This window comes from Homo sapiens, chromosome 11, assembly GCF_000001405.40.
Source record: "Homo sapiens chromosome 11, GRCh38.p14 Primary Assembly".
In the NCBI taxonomy this organism is placed as follows: domain Eukaryota; kingdom Metazoa; phylum Chordata; class Mammalia; order Primates; family Hominidae; genus Homo; species Homo sapiens.
This window is the reverse complement of record NC_000011.10, coordinates 14,247,502-14,262,127: the sequence shown is the minus strand read 5'-3', so window position 1 is coordinate 14,262,127 and position 14,626 is coordinate 14,247,502. Positions and strand designations below refer to the sequence as shown.

The window sequence follows — 14,626 nt, the reverse complement described above, 5'->3', positions numbered from 1 at the left end:
AGGAGCAAGTGGTGCTTTATGGTTTATCGAGATCCAGTAAATTCTTACTAAGCCAGCATCTCATAAATGTGAAAGGAAAATAACACATCAGTTTGACTGTCAGGATGTGTCCCAGGGAGGTAAATTATTCCAAGCTCTCTGTTGGTCTTGCAAGGCCAAAGTCAGGGTGGTGGACTTAGATGTCCTCATTTAGTTCAACAGTTTCAGTTCTTTTATCCCGCCTGTGGAAGCTCAGGCAGCTTTCTTATCTGCAAAATGGGGATCATGGTATTTTTTTTTTCATTAGGTTGTAAGGATTAAATGAGATGCTCCCAGCCCTGTAAGTGCTCCATAAATTTTCATTTTCTTCTCCCTTACTTCAGTGGACCCCAGGCACTCTAAGTCAGAAGGCTATGGGGCCCCAACTCTGGTGAGCTGGCCTGAACCATGGGCCAATCTTAGTTACTGAAAACCCCAGGCTTTCTCTAGTGGGTGGTCCAAGTTACCTCCACCCATGGCTGAGTCTCCTAAAACAACCCAGGAGCTGGAGCATGGAGCAGGGATTAAGTAAGGCCTATCCTTGCCATGTCCAGTGCTCATACTTTGGACCAATTACTTGGTTTCATCCTCAGAGCAACCTAGGAAGTATTTCCTGCTATTTTACAGATGGAGAAACTGAGGAACAGAGGTGCTGAGTCATCGGCTGAAGGTTACTAGCTAGGGGAGGGAGGATGAACGACTGCAAGTACATGCTGGAGGGGGCCAGAGCCACAGCCAGTGTGCCTGCCCTTTTACCACCCAAAAAAGCAGCTCTTGGAAGACCAGCCAAGGAAACTGGCTTGCTCTGCTTGGAGATTAGTCCCATGTAATATAAACAGCTGATCGCAGAGACTTTGGAAAACAGGACTGGGAGTGGAGCGGGGTGGGGTGAGTTTTTGAGAACTTGGCTTGTTTTCTTGCTGGTTTTCTTACCAGTCTGCAGGAGTCATTGATTTAATGTCCAGCCTCTGGTCATGGGGAATTAAAATGGTCACAGGGAAAATAGAATTAAAATGCTTGGAAAATCCATGGGTCAGGCAAGCCTATAATTGTTGGGGGAGAGGAGGGAAAGAACTAAGGTTTATTGAGCTTTGTGCTGTTTTTCGTATGTGTCTGTCATTTAGACTTCACAGGAACCTTAACTTTGGGTGTTCTGTAGACGGTAGTGGGATTCTCACTTTATTAATGAAACTGACTGCAGTGTTTAAGTAACTGCAAACACTGAAAGCCAAACCCCAAACTCTTCCCCAGCAAACCATGTTATTCTAGGATCTAGCAGTATTAGCACTGGCTGGTTCGGGGCTCCCTGGACTCAGGAACATAGAAGTGATGGGCCTTGAGGAGCTCCAGGACTTACGGCATTCAGGGAGCATGCACTTCTCCACCTGCTCCAGATCCTCATTGCAGTCTCCAAGTTCTGCCAGAGACTTGAGCATCCGCTGTCGGGTTCGCATGCCCTTCCCGCAGGTCACGCTGCAGTCACTCCACTCGGACCATGGGGACAGCAAGCATGGGATGGTGTCTAGATCAAGAACCAGGTTTGCCACTGAGAACAGGTTCCTTTTGTTTTCGTTGATCTCCCTGACCCCACAGTGTTCCACACCGAGTCCCCTGCTTTGGCCCCTGGAATAAAGTGGAATTGGCCCATGGGTTCAAATAAGAGTGAAATCTATGGAGCAAGAAGTGGCTCAGCAGCCTACTGCTCTTCTTTTCACTCTCTTTCATCTCCCTGCTGACCCCCCCCGATGGTTATGACATGAGGGTAGCAATATGACTACATAAGTCCCCACTAGAAAGGCCACTGAGGATCTTAGCAGGGTCTTCCTAGAGACAGAAACATCCCACACTCACTAAGAATCAGGCACTAAAGGAGAGGCTCAGGGATGCATTTTTGGACATTGTCCTGAATTCCCTAGAATGTGTATATACTTGTGTGCCTGTATACATCTGCATACTAATGTGTGGGCAGGCCCATATGCATTTGTGCACAGAGCAGGGGAGGTCATGCTTTATGGGATCAGCCAAGTCCAATGTACAACAGGAGTGGGAGGAGTGGGCTGGACCTGGGTAATGTATGTCCCGCCTAAATGTATTGGCCCTCCTCCCCACCACTGCAAGAAAGACACTCCTATAAAACACAGCTGCAGGTGAATTCTCTATCCAGAGGCCACCAGTTTGCCACCCCAGCATTGCTTAGAATGTCCCCCAGTGGAGGTTACTCTCTCTGGGTCTGGTTGATGTCTACACACCTATGTCTCTCATCTGGCTCCCAGCAGTGCCCAGCAAGGACCATGGGCCATGCTTTCCTCTGCTCAGCCTCCGACCTTTATGGTGGTAATAGTGGATGCCATGGCCCTCCACGCCTGTCCCCAGTGGCCTCCTCCAAGTCCACCCCCGCTCTCACTCACGGCACTCTGGCATCATGCACTTCTCTGCCTGTGATGTCTCGGCTTTGCACATGGAGCCATCTGCGGGGTTCATCTTGATCATGCGGTGCCGCTTCTTCATGCCCATGCCGCAGGTGGCGCTGCACTCGTCCCACTCGCCCCACTCGGTCATCAGGCAGCTGCTGGGAGCTGGGGAGGCCAGCGGCATTGGAGTCGCACCTGCTGCCTCCCCGACCTACTTGCCCGCCTGCCCGCCCGGGGCCCCCACTCACAGCACTCCTCGTTGACCGTGCACTTCTCCGTTTCCTCAGTGGGCAGCGTGCACACGGAGCCGTCCTCCGGGAACTGCTTCACATACCTCTCCCGGGACCTCATGCCCATGCCGCAGGAGATGCTGCAGGGCGACCAGGTGATCCACTCGGACATGGTGCAGGTGGAGCCGTCTGCAACACACCGAGTGAACGCTGCAGCAGTGCACGGTGGCAGGGGCGCCTGCCAGGCTGCGCGGTGGGAACTTCCCGCCAGCGGGAATCAAGAGGAGTCAGGCAGTTGAGGTTGTCTGCACACCTAAGAGGTCTAAATCCTTAAACTGGCAAAGTTCTCTAAGAGGAAATGCCTCTTTTCCAGGTGCATGGGACACTCAGAATTACTCTTTATCTCATGAAAATACATTCGAAAGATGCTTGTATGGAAAGGATGGTGTTTAAAAAATGTACACGCATATATCTAAGATAAGATATAATTTAATCTACATATAATTTAAGATAAATCATAATCCATTTGTATGAGGAACAATCCTTCCCTGTGGAAGGGGAGGTTAAGGACCTCAGCTCCTCAGCTTAGCTCCCCAGTCCCAGCCCCAAGAAAGAGGCTTCAATGTTGACAGGCCAGTCCCAGCTTTCCTCCCGCCTGTTTGTAGGAATGACTTAGTCTACGGGGAGGGTTTACTCCCCTCCAAAGTGCTTATTGTGGGCAAAATGAGCTAGCAATAAACCATCGTGAAAGTGCAACACTGGGAGAGGTGTTTAAGAGCCTCCCTCTAGGCAGAGCCAAGGAATTAATGACCTGCATGGGATAAGCTTGCTTTCTTTATCCTCGGCTTGGAAGTGGTTTTTTTCCCTGCCATACACCAGTCCAGCCTATACAGTGCCTTCCCATTGCCTTATGGCATCCTATAAGATCAGGGCAGAATAGCGTAGATCTATCAGGCAGAGAAAGGGGTCATGGCTTGGGAAGCAGATAGCTGACCTTTGCACAGCAATCAGCTTAGTGCAATCTTGAAGCTTGAGCCATCATGATATAGGTGTTGCAAGATTATACTTAAAGGCTGACCTTTGCACTGTTGCAAATAGACTGAGAATTTCTGCAATCAGCCCAAAGGTCCTGACACAAAGAAGTGAGAGTGCTCTGACTCACGCTGAGGTGGAACACAGATGAGGGGCTGTAAATGACAGAATTAGGGCAATGGATCTAGATTCAATCTGGGCTGACTGTTAACAGGCTCCTTAAGAAGAGATTGGAGTTAAGGCCCAGAAGCAGGCTATGTGTTATCTGTAACTTGTCATAAGTTGTATCTATGTTTGTTAGCTCTTCAGTAAAAGAAGGAGGGGGTGGTCAATCTCAAGAATTCCTTTGATATAAGAGAGATTCTGTGTTCAGAGCCCTCAAGACACTGTTGCAGATAGGAGTTTGCCCAAGGTGGACCCCACTGACATCTACTGTCAGGGTCCTTGTGCCCTCACCAGGGACACTGTCTGACTGCTAGGCAGACCCTCCCTTCCTGAACTCCTGCCAGCCCCTGGCTGGTCTGGGTTGTCTCCTCACCTTCGTCACTGCAGCCAGGGCCCATGCAGGGCTGGAAGTCCTGGGTGTCAGGGCAGGGGACGCTGAGGTCCAGCTGTGCTTTCAGCATGCGCTGTCGCATCCTCTTGCCTTTGTCACAGGTGGAGGAGCTGCAGGCGGACCATGGGGACCAGTTGGAGTAGATGCAGGTTTCAGGGGTGTCATCTGGAAAGAGTGTTTGACATGTTTTCCCTGGGAACCTATGGGAGCTGCCACTGGCCCTCTCCCCATACCAGCTTATCTGGGGACAAGAAAAGCCATGCTGCCAGACTGACTTCAGTGAGCCTGGGTGCTCCTGGGATGGAAGCAGCCATCCACTTCCCTTTAAAGATAATAGTTTAACATCTTGCTAATAAATATCTAATCTAAATAAGCAGAATGATTCTTATTATCCCTTCCTCTCAACACATGAACGTCTTCTCATTTTCAGTCCCTCATCTTGGCATTGTTTCCAGACACATGCAGGCTCATTGTAGGTAATTTTGAAAAGCTCAAGGCTTATTTACATGCCATGGCTTCATCTTCCCAATGATCCCATACACAGTTGTCATGGTAAGAATAAGAGCAGCTGCTATTCATTGAGTACTCATCATGTACCAGCACCATTCTAAGAGCCTTACATGTTTTATCCCATTTAATTCTGACAACTGTATGAAGCAAGTTCTTTTATTATCCCCATTTGACTGTTGAGGAAACTGAGACAGAAAGGTTAGCTTCTTGCCCAAGATCACATGTCTACTGAGAGTCCAGGTTGTCTGGCTCCAGATCCCATAAGAAAACTTGAGCTTGAACCATGACTCTGTCGCTCCCTCCTGATTGTAGGATCTGGGCCTTTCTTTGCTTGCTAGGAAAGTGAATGTATCCACACCTGCCTCATAGGCTGGCCTGAGAATCGAAGCAGAGAGTGGTCTGAATCCTGCGAAGCCCATTAAAATGAGATTTACATGATTGTTTTAAAGGCCTGATGTTGTTGAGTATATATTCTGATGTCATATCTTCACCAATTCCCTTATGCTTTGGGCCTAACCTTGGCCTTGTTTTTGATTATTTCTTGAGGAGAAATCCTCAGAGATATGATTACCAAGTCAAAGCACATGGTTTATGGTTCTTAAAACAGGTTAGCAAATTGCTTTCTCAAAGGGTTATGTCAATTTATGTTGCCACCTGCAACAAAAGAAAACAACGTACCTTCATCTTTCTCTTCTGGAGCCAGGTCAGCTACAATATCATCGACATTGTCAGGTACAATATTGCATTGTTCACCCTGAAAAAGGAATTTTACTTGGAGGGCTCACATGAGAGAAAGAAGGGAATGTGTAGGGGGAAGGTGAAAGAGGACTAAAATCTAATCGCCATTCTGTATACAAATCGTATGCCATGGCAAAGTTCTGGACCAACATTTACAATCTGCCTGAGAAAGAAATGCCAAGAAAGCAGGAATGGCTAACCAGGGATGATAAATACATAACTTGGGTACCACCACTCCCCAGTTCCTGGCCCATGGCAGATATTAGTAATCAATTGCAGAACTCACAATGAAAGCAATTTGCCTGGATCAAATTGTTCATTTGAGCACTGGGCCTCACTGCTGAGTTAATTTTGCTCATTTTCTTTTTTTTTCTTTTTTCTTTTTGAGATGGAGTTTTGCTCTTGTCACCCAGACTGGAGCGCAATGGCGCAATCTTGGCTCACTGTAACCTCCACCTCCAGGGTTCAAGCAATTCTCCTGCCTTAGCCTCCCGAGTAGCTGGAATTACAGGTCCCTGCCACCATGCCCAGCCAATTTTTGTATTTTTAGTAGAGATGGGGTTTCACCATGTTGGCCAGGCTGGTCTTGAATTCCTGACCTCGGGTGATCTGCCCACCTTGGACTCCCAAAGGGCTGGGATTACAGGCATGGGCTACAGTGCCTGGCCTGCTTATTTTCATCTTATGAAATAATTTGCATGTTAGAAACCTGGGGAGGCCCAGGAATTCCATATCCTGAGGTGCTTTCTGCCAGTGACTCTATGATTCTAGAGCAGAAGGGTGTACAATCTCCCTGGCACTCCTACCGGGAAAGGTCGATGCCAGAGTGGGTTCTAACCCAGTACCTTCCGTGCGATTCTCTCGATGACAACTCTGGCTACTTGAGTGATGGACCCACCCTCTGGGTCATAGAAAGGACTCTGAGGATGGTCCAGGCTGGTCAGGGGCCGGATTTTCTCCTGGGGAATGGTGGGTTTGTTGGGTGACTGCAAGAAAACATACAGAGGTAGAGAGTAAGAAATAAAATTGGGAAAACCCACAAAAGCCATTTGTTATATGGATCAGAGCAAAGTCCTTGATAGGAATTTAACAAGCATAACTACTATTTATATTTATGGAATTGTGTTCATGCCACATACTGTGCTGAGAAATTTCTAGAACTATATTTTAAAATTCTTCCATGTCCATGGTAGGATTGTGCTAAGATGAAGAAGCCAAGTTTCAGAGAGGCCATCCCAGCTAGGAAACGGCTGAGCCAGGTTGGCCTGAATCCCAAACTCTTTCTAATAGACCCGGCATTGGAAAACTTTTTTAGTAAAGGGCCAGATGCTAAATATTTTAGGCTTTGTGAACCATATTGTGTCTGTTGCTAATATTCAACTCAGCTGTGGTAGTGAGAAAACAGCCGCAGATAATATGTACTTGGAGGAGTGTAACTGGCTTTGAAAACTTTATTGACAAATCACATTGTAGGGCAGATTTGTCTTCCAAACCATAGTTTGCAGATGTCTGTTCTAGATTGTTCTCCCATTGGTTTTCTGATGGCTCCAGATTTCAATGCAATAGATCATATCAGAGAAATATGACATTCAGGACAGAATGCAAACTCCTTAGCCCAGCTGTCCAGAAACCTTCGCTCTTGCAGTCATGGCTTTGGAATGCTGTCCCCTGCTCACCTGGGAACTGCTCTTTAGCAGTTCCCTCTCCGTGCTCTCCTGGCCACTGCACAGACAGTTCCCAGAGCCCAAATTACACCATATGTGATGATGCGACCATGCCAGCCTCCCCAGCCAGACTGAAAGTTCACCTAGGACAGAGCCTGGGACAGATCCCCTCTGTGTCCAGGACACTCAGGAAGCGGGTAGGCAAGGAGCCACTCACCACTCCAGGCACACACACACACCTCATAGGTCACCCCGCTGTCGGTGCCAGCGTCCCAGGGAATCAGGTCTTGCACCACCTTCTGGACCCAGCCACATTCCTTGGTGCACAGATCTTCTGCAGATAAGCCTACGTTCCAGTCGGGACTAGGGCCCATCATGGTCAGGAAGGACATTAAATGGCGCGTTCTGTCCACGGAAAATTCAGCTGAAGGTGCTGCTCTCCTGGAAACGAAATACAGAGACCATTATATTAGAGTTCTGGGGGTTGGTCCTCACTCTGAGGGAAATCTGCCTGGATTATGAAGAATGAGAGGGACAGAGAGTATCCACATTCGTGGTCTCCCACTGAATTCTGCCTTTGGCCACTGTGGGTTTATACCCTTCTCTGTCCTGAGCCCATCCATTGAACAAATGTGGAGAGAACCATATACTACCACCCTATCCAGTTTCTCTTTTTGTTTTTCTTTCAGAGACAGAGTCTTGCTCTGTCACCCAGGCTGGAGTGCAGTGGTGTGATCATGGCTCACTGTTGCCTCAAACTTCTGGGCTCAAGTGATCCTTGCACCTCAACCTCCCATCAGAGGGGTCATCTCCCCCAGCTTCCTGTTTCTATTGCCCTCAGAAGGCTGCCAATAGCAGGCACTGTCCAGCGCCAGACTGTACCCATCAGCTCACAGCTGGGAAGCAGGGACCAGCTGTAGAGTCAGAGACCTTTGGCCGACACCCCCAGTTGCTGGGAATAACATCCTGAGTCTAAGCTATCAGAGGCCGCTCTTCAACCTCTCTCTTTGTGTCACACAGATTCTCAGGAGTGGCTGGGACCATGTGAGATACATGGCAGCAACCACTCAGAGTGGCTGGAAAGGAAAGAGTCACATTCGCAAAGCACACAGCGGGTGGCAGTCCCATATTATTTCATTTTCCCCTCATGACAATCCTGTGGGGTTAGAATTATTATCCTGTCTCATAGAGAGGCCATGAAAGTGAATAAGTGGTTAATGAACTAATAGACACAGCTAGGAGGGGGCTGAGGCTTGAAGGCAGCTTGGCCTGACTCTGCACCCCAAGGCTGCTAATCATGGGGAATCCTTGGCCAGAGACCAACTGTTCTGTTCAGTCCAGCTGGCAGCTGGTCTGCCTCAGCTGTCTGGAAGTCCCTGTGCCCTCTGTTGGGACCAGCTGCTTCTGGCTGCCCTCACCTGGCACCAGAAAGCAATGACTGCAGACCCGACTGGGGCCTGGGGAACTGGGCCCCTTGGGCTCTGGTATCACCTGTTACAGCTGTGTGTCCTTGGGCAGATTATCAAACCTTTCTGCGTCTCAGTGTCCAAATCTTTAAAATGGTGATCACATACGTCTACTCCAAAGGGTTCCTGTGAATTTCAAATGAGCTAGCTTGCAGACAGTACTTAGCCCATTGCCTGGCCCTAGAGCTCTTATTACCATTAGTGTTACTGAGAGAAGTACTGTAGGATCGTATGGAGATCAGAAAGGGGACAGGTGGGAGGAAAAGCCTTCCTGAATGGACTTTCCATTTTAGCCTGATGCCAGTCTAGGTTCTGCCACAGGAGTGGAGAAGAACCTGGCCTGAGCCTTGGCTTTGGCATCCGTCGATTGACAAGGTCCTGGTGCTGCCTCCCATGCACCCCCTCCCTTATCCCACACTACCTGCTACCTAAGAAGCTCCCTGGGCCCTGACAGGCCAGTCTACCTGCAGGTTAGCTGCAGGTTCCACTTGTACTTGCATCTATTGGGCAAGCTCTTCAGTGATTGGAAAAGTGTGGTCCTTGGACCAGCAGCATCAGCAACCTCTAGGAACTTGTTAGAAATACAGATTCTTGAGCCCCACCCTATATTTGCTGAATTAGAGACTTGGGGTAGGACCCAGCAATTTGTTTTAATAATCCCTCCAGATTGTAATACACCTCAAGCTTGAGAATGCTGGGCCCACTCATCTTTCAAGCCTCAGGTCATGTCACCTCTTCCAGCAGCCTTTCTGCCTGCCTTCAGCTGAGGCAGATACATAGCGCTGGATTCCCACACTCTGCGCAGGTCTTGCCTTCAGCTGAGGCAAGTACATAGCGCTGGATTCCCACACTCTGCGCAGGTCTTGCCTTCGGCTGAGGCAAGTACATAGCGTTGGATTCCCACACTCTGCGCAGGTCTTGCCTTCGGCTGAGGCAAGTACATAGCGCTGGATTCCCACACTCTGCGCAGGTCTTGCCTTCGGCTGAGGCAAGTACATAGCGCTGGATTCCCACACTCTGCGCAGGTCTTGCCTTCGGCTGAGGCAAGTACATAGCGCTGGATTCCCACACTCTGCGCAGGTCTTGCCTTCGGCTGAGGCAGATACATAGCGCTGGATTCCCACACTCTGCGCAGGTCTTGCCTTCGGCTGAGGCAGATACATAGCGCTGGATTCCCACACTCTGCGCAGGTCTTGCCTTCGGCTGAGGCAGATACATAGCGCTGGATTCCCACTCTGCGCAGGTCTCCATAGCCAGACCCCATGAATGTAATCACTTCCTCACTGTTCCCTCTCCCCAGCTTAGACCGGGAGTTCCTTGAAGGAACTCTGTGTTTCATAGCTGTACCCCAGGACCTAGGTGTCCAGTGGGCCGACTGAACAAATATGCGTATGATGACTTGAACTCCTCCACTTCTAGCTTTAGATCTTGGGCAAGTTGCTCACCCTCTTCAAGTCTCAATATCTTCATCTAGCAATACATACCTGCAGTGTTGCTGTCAGGATCAAATGAGATGCTTTATTAGGAAGTCTTTATAAACTGCTAAAGTATTGCAATGACATCATCAGCTACTTAGGCACAAATCAGGGGATTTAATTTCCTTTTCCCACGTGTGCATTTTCTGGCATGTAGGTCAGTGATTTTAGCAGCTTCTTTAAAGACCTGGTTCACACAAGGATTGCAGTCTATGGAGGTGTGGCATTACCTCGCCTAGGGACTCACAGGACGGGGTTCTGGTCTGCCTTCTAGTAACTGCTGAGCAGACAGCACTGGCACCTGGGTGCAGCTGTCCTCTGGGGTGGTCCAGCAGTCCCCTGGGAGGCAGGTTTCCTCTTCCATTGTCATAGAGACTGACCGCTCCATCTATTGCCTTCCTGTCTTCCTAAGTAGGTGATTTGGGGCCAGATTAGTCATTCATATCCTGTACCCCATGGGTGACTATTCATAATGACAATCTAAGGGGACAAAACCAGTTCTAATCCAGAGCTGTAGAAACCAAACCAACTGCCACCCTAACACATTACCCTGGAACCTGCCCAGCCAATGGGTGTAACCATCTGAGACCAAGGCCTTGTGGAAATCATTCTCAGTAAATGCATTTTGGCCCAATCTGTTGTATCCAAATCTGTAGCTGAAGCGAGATACCCTCTAGACCCTGGTAAGTGTTTCAAGGTGTGGGAAACGTGGGGCGGCCAATTCCTGACTATGAGGTCACATGGCTGACTTATCTTGGGTGATAGAGTAAATCTGAATCTATAAGGGCCTGAGAACAATTTGATAGCATTTTCAGATATGCCCTGCAGCTTTCTCTTATCCTTGACTGGAGAATCCCTCCTTGACCCCATTTATGTAACATTTCCTGGAGGAGGTATTTCCTGACCTCTCCCCAAATTGCTTAGAACTCCTATTCTACCTCCCCATAGCATGCTGAACTCACTCTTGCTTTGGAATTTTTTGTTAATATCTGCCTTTCCCATCAGGTTCCAATAGAGTGAGGACCATTTCTGCCGTGCTCATAGCTATATCCCAATGTCTGGCTTAGAACTTGGCATGCCATGGATTCTCTTCAAATGTTTGTTGAAGTAAATGACTTAATCTAAGAAATGAACATGGAGCTCTTGTATTTCCTTTGACCTTCAAATTTAATTAAGCATCACTTCAAAGTATTTATTCTATAATAAAAATAATTAAATGAATAAGAATCTATATGAGTTTTCCTTAGAAAATGCTAGATAGGACTGGAGTGCTTTAATTTGTTCAAACTGTCATAAAAATTTTTATGCTTTTGTATATGCCATGTCTTCCAAGATATATTTTGTTAATTTGGTTTCATCTTTCTACCTGGGACTTAGATTTGTATCCGTTTTCTAGCAGAGAGTTGATCTAGCCATACCATATACCAGAGTATATGATAAAGCATGATAGACAAAATAGCGTGATATTCAGGTAAGATAGAAATATAAATCAGCAATACAGACTGGAGATCCCAGAAACTATAGATAAGGACTATACAAAATAGGCTTTTCAAATTAGGGGGAAAGGAAAGATTGTGCGACAAGTGGGGTTGGGCTAAGTTAACTGTAATAAAAAAAAAACTGGATTCACATTTAATATACCACACAAGAAAAAAAAAAAACAGACCCAGAGTCAAATAGAAAATAACCAGATCATAGAAAAAAATAAAGCTTTCAGATCTACTAGAGAAATATTAATTTTTTCAACTTTGAAACAATAAAAGCAATTATAAAGAAAAGAATTGAATTATCTATCAACGAAGACCTTCTGTAAAATGAAAACAGCAGTACTGAATTGGAGAGAAAAATGACATGCTGGCAAAAAATGTCTCCATTGAGTGTGACTGACAAAGTGTTAATATCTATATTATCTACAGAGTTAATCCAAATATGTAGAAAAAGACAATGATCCCACTAGATAAAGAAAAGTTATGAACAGACAATTCACATCAGATATGAAGACCCAGAGAAATGTTTCCTTTTTCTACATTTGGAGAGGCAGCATGGTGTGGAGGAAAGAACCCAGGGCATTGGTGACAGTCAGAGCTGGATTCGAATCAGCTGTTTATTTAATAGCTATGTGATGAGGGCTTCCACCTCACCTTTCTTTGCAATTACTACATCTGCCAAATGGGAGCATCATCATCCTACCCCAAGGTTTTATTGTGAGAAAACTGCTTATCATTGTGAGGGACACATAACAGGGCTTGGTAGAGGTTGATTTTCTTCTCATTCAACTTTTCCAAACAAAATGTTCCAAAACACCATAAAAGAAAAGAGGTAAGAAAGGATTTTGATACTGCTTCTAGAGACTTACCATCCCCTCCTAAATTACAGATCCACACCAGTGAGACTCAGGAGGGTTTCCTAAAACACTCATATGCTGTGTTGTCTCTCATCCTGAGTTTTCAATAATCTGAATTTTCAGAGTTGCAAAAACTCAATTTGGCCACGAGAGGGCGCCCAAGCCATTCACTAGGCTGAAGTTCTGCAGGGGTGTGTGTGGAGAAAGGTTTGAGGGAGGTTCCTGCAACGTTGGAAAACGCTGTGTTTATAACCAGGAGGCATCTAGGACTCCAGGTCCATCTGGATGCTTAGACCTACCACCTGCTTCTCTGTCCAAAGCCCATCTTCCTTTAGCATCCCGAGGACATCGGTGGACCTGTGCAGGTGTTGCAGGAGGCAGGGAGAGCCCTGACTCTTCCGGCCCAATTTAAGGGAAATCTCTGGCCTCCTGGGGAGCATGGCTTTGGATTTCTGGAGAAGGTGACCATGTCTCTACTCCACTGGCCTCACAAACACGACCTTTATCTAATCAATGTTAATCCGGCAGAGTGGCTGGGAATAATTTAAGGTGGTGACAGTGGTTTGCAGGATTCATTTTAAGGAAGGAAATAAAAGTTATTTGTAAAAGTCCCAGTAATTCTTAGCATTCAGATGCAATTGGAGGAACTGGATGATGGACATTCAGAATTGATTTGTAGGAAATCTGGGCATTTTCTACTTAGGCACCGGAGGAACTAGGAAAGGATGTGGGTTTTGTTCAGAGTCTGCCTTTCCTGTCTCTACCTGCACCCTGGGCTGTCGGAGCCACAGCTTGATTTATTGAGCTAAACAAGTCAGCAGCTAATTTGCTCATTCATGGCTGTCCTTTGAGAAGTGGTCCTGGGGATAAAGATGCAGATCATTGAAAAACAAGTCAGTTTCAACGGGCAGGACCTTGCAAAGTAGGTCACCCTGGCTTTCCACTGGGCGGCGAGGGAGGCTGGAATCCCATTAACCTCAATCAGGCAGGCTCAGCAAAGAGAGGCAAGGCTGTTTCTGCAAAACAAAACTTGGCTGCATGTAGGCTTCCTAATTTGACTTCCTAATGAGATTTGGAAGAGGAAAGGGGAGACTGGGGTATGGGAAAATCAAAGGAAAATTCTTTTCCCTTAACAAGCCAGTAGCGCCGAGTGCAGAGGTTTTGGGTGTTTGGGAGGTCTGAGTGTTTGCCATCAATTAATTTTGTTCCACGGAGGCCTCAGGAAGTCTGAGGGGTAGGTGAAATGTGGGAAGGTGTCCCAAAATATTCATTTCAGTTTTTCAGAAAGTCTCTCCCATCTTAAAAAAGAAAAAAAAAATGCTCCTTTGACTCTTTCATCCCCTTGGAGCCAGGTTCTCTTCTTTCATAGCAAACTTCACAGAAGAGTGGTCTGTACTTGCTGACTCCATAACCTCATGCTCTGTTCACAGCTCACCTGCTCCGGGCTGTTTTTCCCCCTCATCACTCAGCAGAAAGGATTCTCCGTAAGGTCACTGATGACCTTCCTGTCGATAAACCCAAAGGGCTTCCTGTAGCCTTGATCTTTCTTGTTTTCTCGGCTGCACTGGGCACAGCCAACCACCCGCCTCAAACACTTTCTTCCCCTGGCTTTCTCGGTACCAAGCTTCCTTACCAATTTCTTTGCTGCTCCTTTGCTGTGTCCTTTGCAGGCAAGATTCCTCAACATTCAATAGTAGAGATCTTTGGAACTCAGTCCTAAGCCCTTGATTCCTATTCTTATGCCCTTGGCATTGTCTCCCATTCCTTGAGGGCTCCCAATTTTAGATCTCAGTGCAGAATTCTTGCCCTGAGTTCCAGAGCTATCTAGCCAACCATGTACTTAACACCTCTAACTGGAAATCTTGAATACATCTTAACAACTTACACTTAGAACTGATCCCATGATCTTTCCCACTGAACTTCATCTAACGTTTTCAGCCTTGTGAGTGGCTTCACCACTCTTTCATTATGCCAGCCAGACACATGGGAAACATCTTGACTGCTCTTTCTCCACCCCCTTACTCCACCTATCGCCACAGCCTGTTGATTTTACCTCCTACGTGCCTCACACATCTCTGTACCTCTCTCCTTTTCCACCACCACCACCATCCTAGTGAAGTCACAGTTAATTCTCTCCGGTTTTCTGAAGTAGCCCCCCTCACTGGGCTCCCGCATCTACCCT

The 14,626-nt window shown here is 47.2% G+C and overlaps 1 protein-coding gene across 1 annotated transcript in view, besides 2 other annotated features; it reads right to left on the bottom strand.

The window, feature by feature from the left end:
• SPON1 (spondin 1) overlaps nt 1-14,626 on the bottom strand; it is a 305,411-nt gene that overhangs the window by 6,006 nt on the left and 284,779 nt on the right. Inside the window, exons 8-14 of the mRNA NM_006108.4 lie at nt 7,399-7,600; nt 6,341-6,481; nt 5,436-5,511; nt 4,230-4,412; nt 2,678-2,848; nt 2,427-2,594; nt 1,376-1,540 (exon numbers count right to left, since the gene is read on the bottom strand). Coding sequence (NP_006099.2) covers nt 1,376-1,540; nt 2,427-2,594; nt 2,678-2,848; nt 4,230-4,412; nt 5,436-5,511; nt 6,341-6,481; nt 7,399-7,600 — 1,106 coding nt within the window. The remainder of the gene's footprint in view (nt 1-1,375; nt 1,541-2,426; nt 2,595-2,677; nt 2,849-4,229; nt 4,413-5,435; nt 5,512-6,340; nt 6,482-7,398; nt 7,601-14,626) is intronic.
• Nucleotides 2,188-2,711: an enhancer, noted in NCBI's record as "H3K27ac-H3K4me1 hESC enhancer chr11:14280963-14281486 (GRCh37/hg19 assembly coordinates)". NCBI's record gives its function as "activates a minimal SCP1, AML or CMV promoter by ChIP-STARR-seq in primed H9 embryonic stem cells {active_cell/tissue: H9 hESC(primed)}" and the evidence as "EXISTENCE:reporter gene assay evidence [ECO:0000049][PMID:30033119]".
• Nucleotides 2,712-3,236: an enhancer, noted in NCBI's record as "H3K27ac-H3K4me1 hESC enhancer chr11:14280438-14280962 (GRCh37/hg19 assembly coordinates)". NCBI's record gives its function as "activates a minimal SCP1, AML or CMV promoter by ChIP-STARR-seq in primed H9 embryonic stem cells {active_cell/tissue: H9 hESC(primed)}" and the evidence as "EXISTENCE:reporter gene assay evidence [ECO:0000049][PMID:30033119]".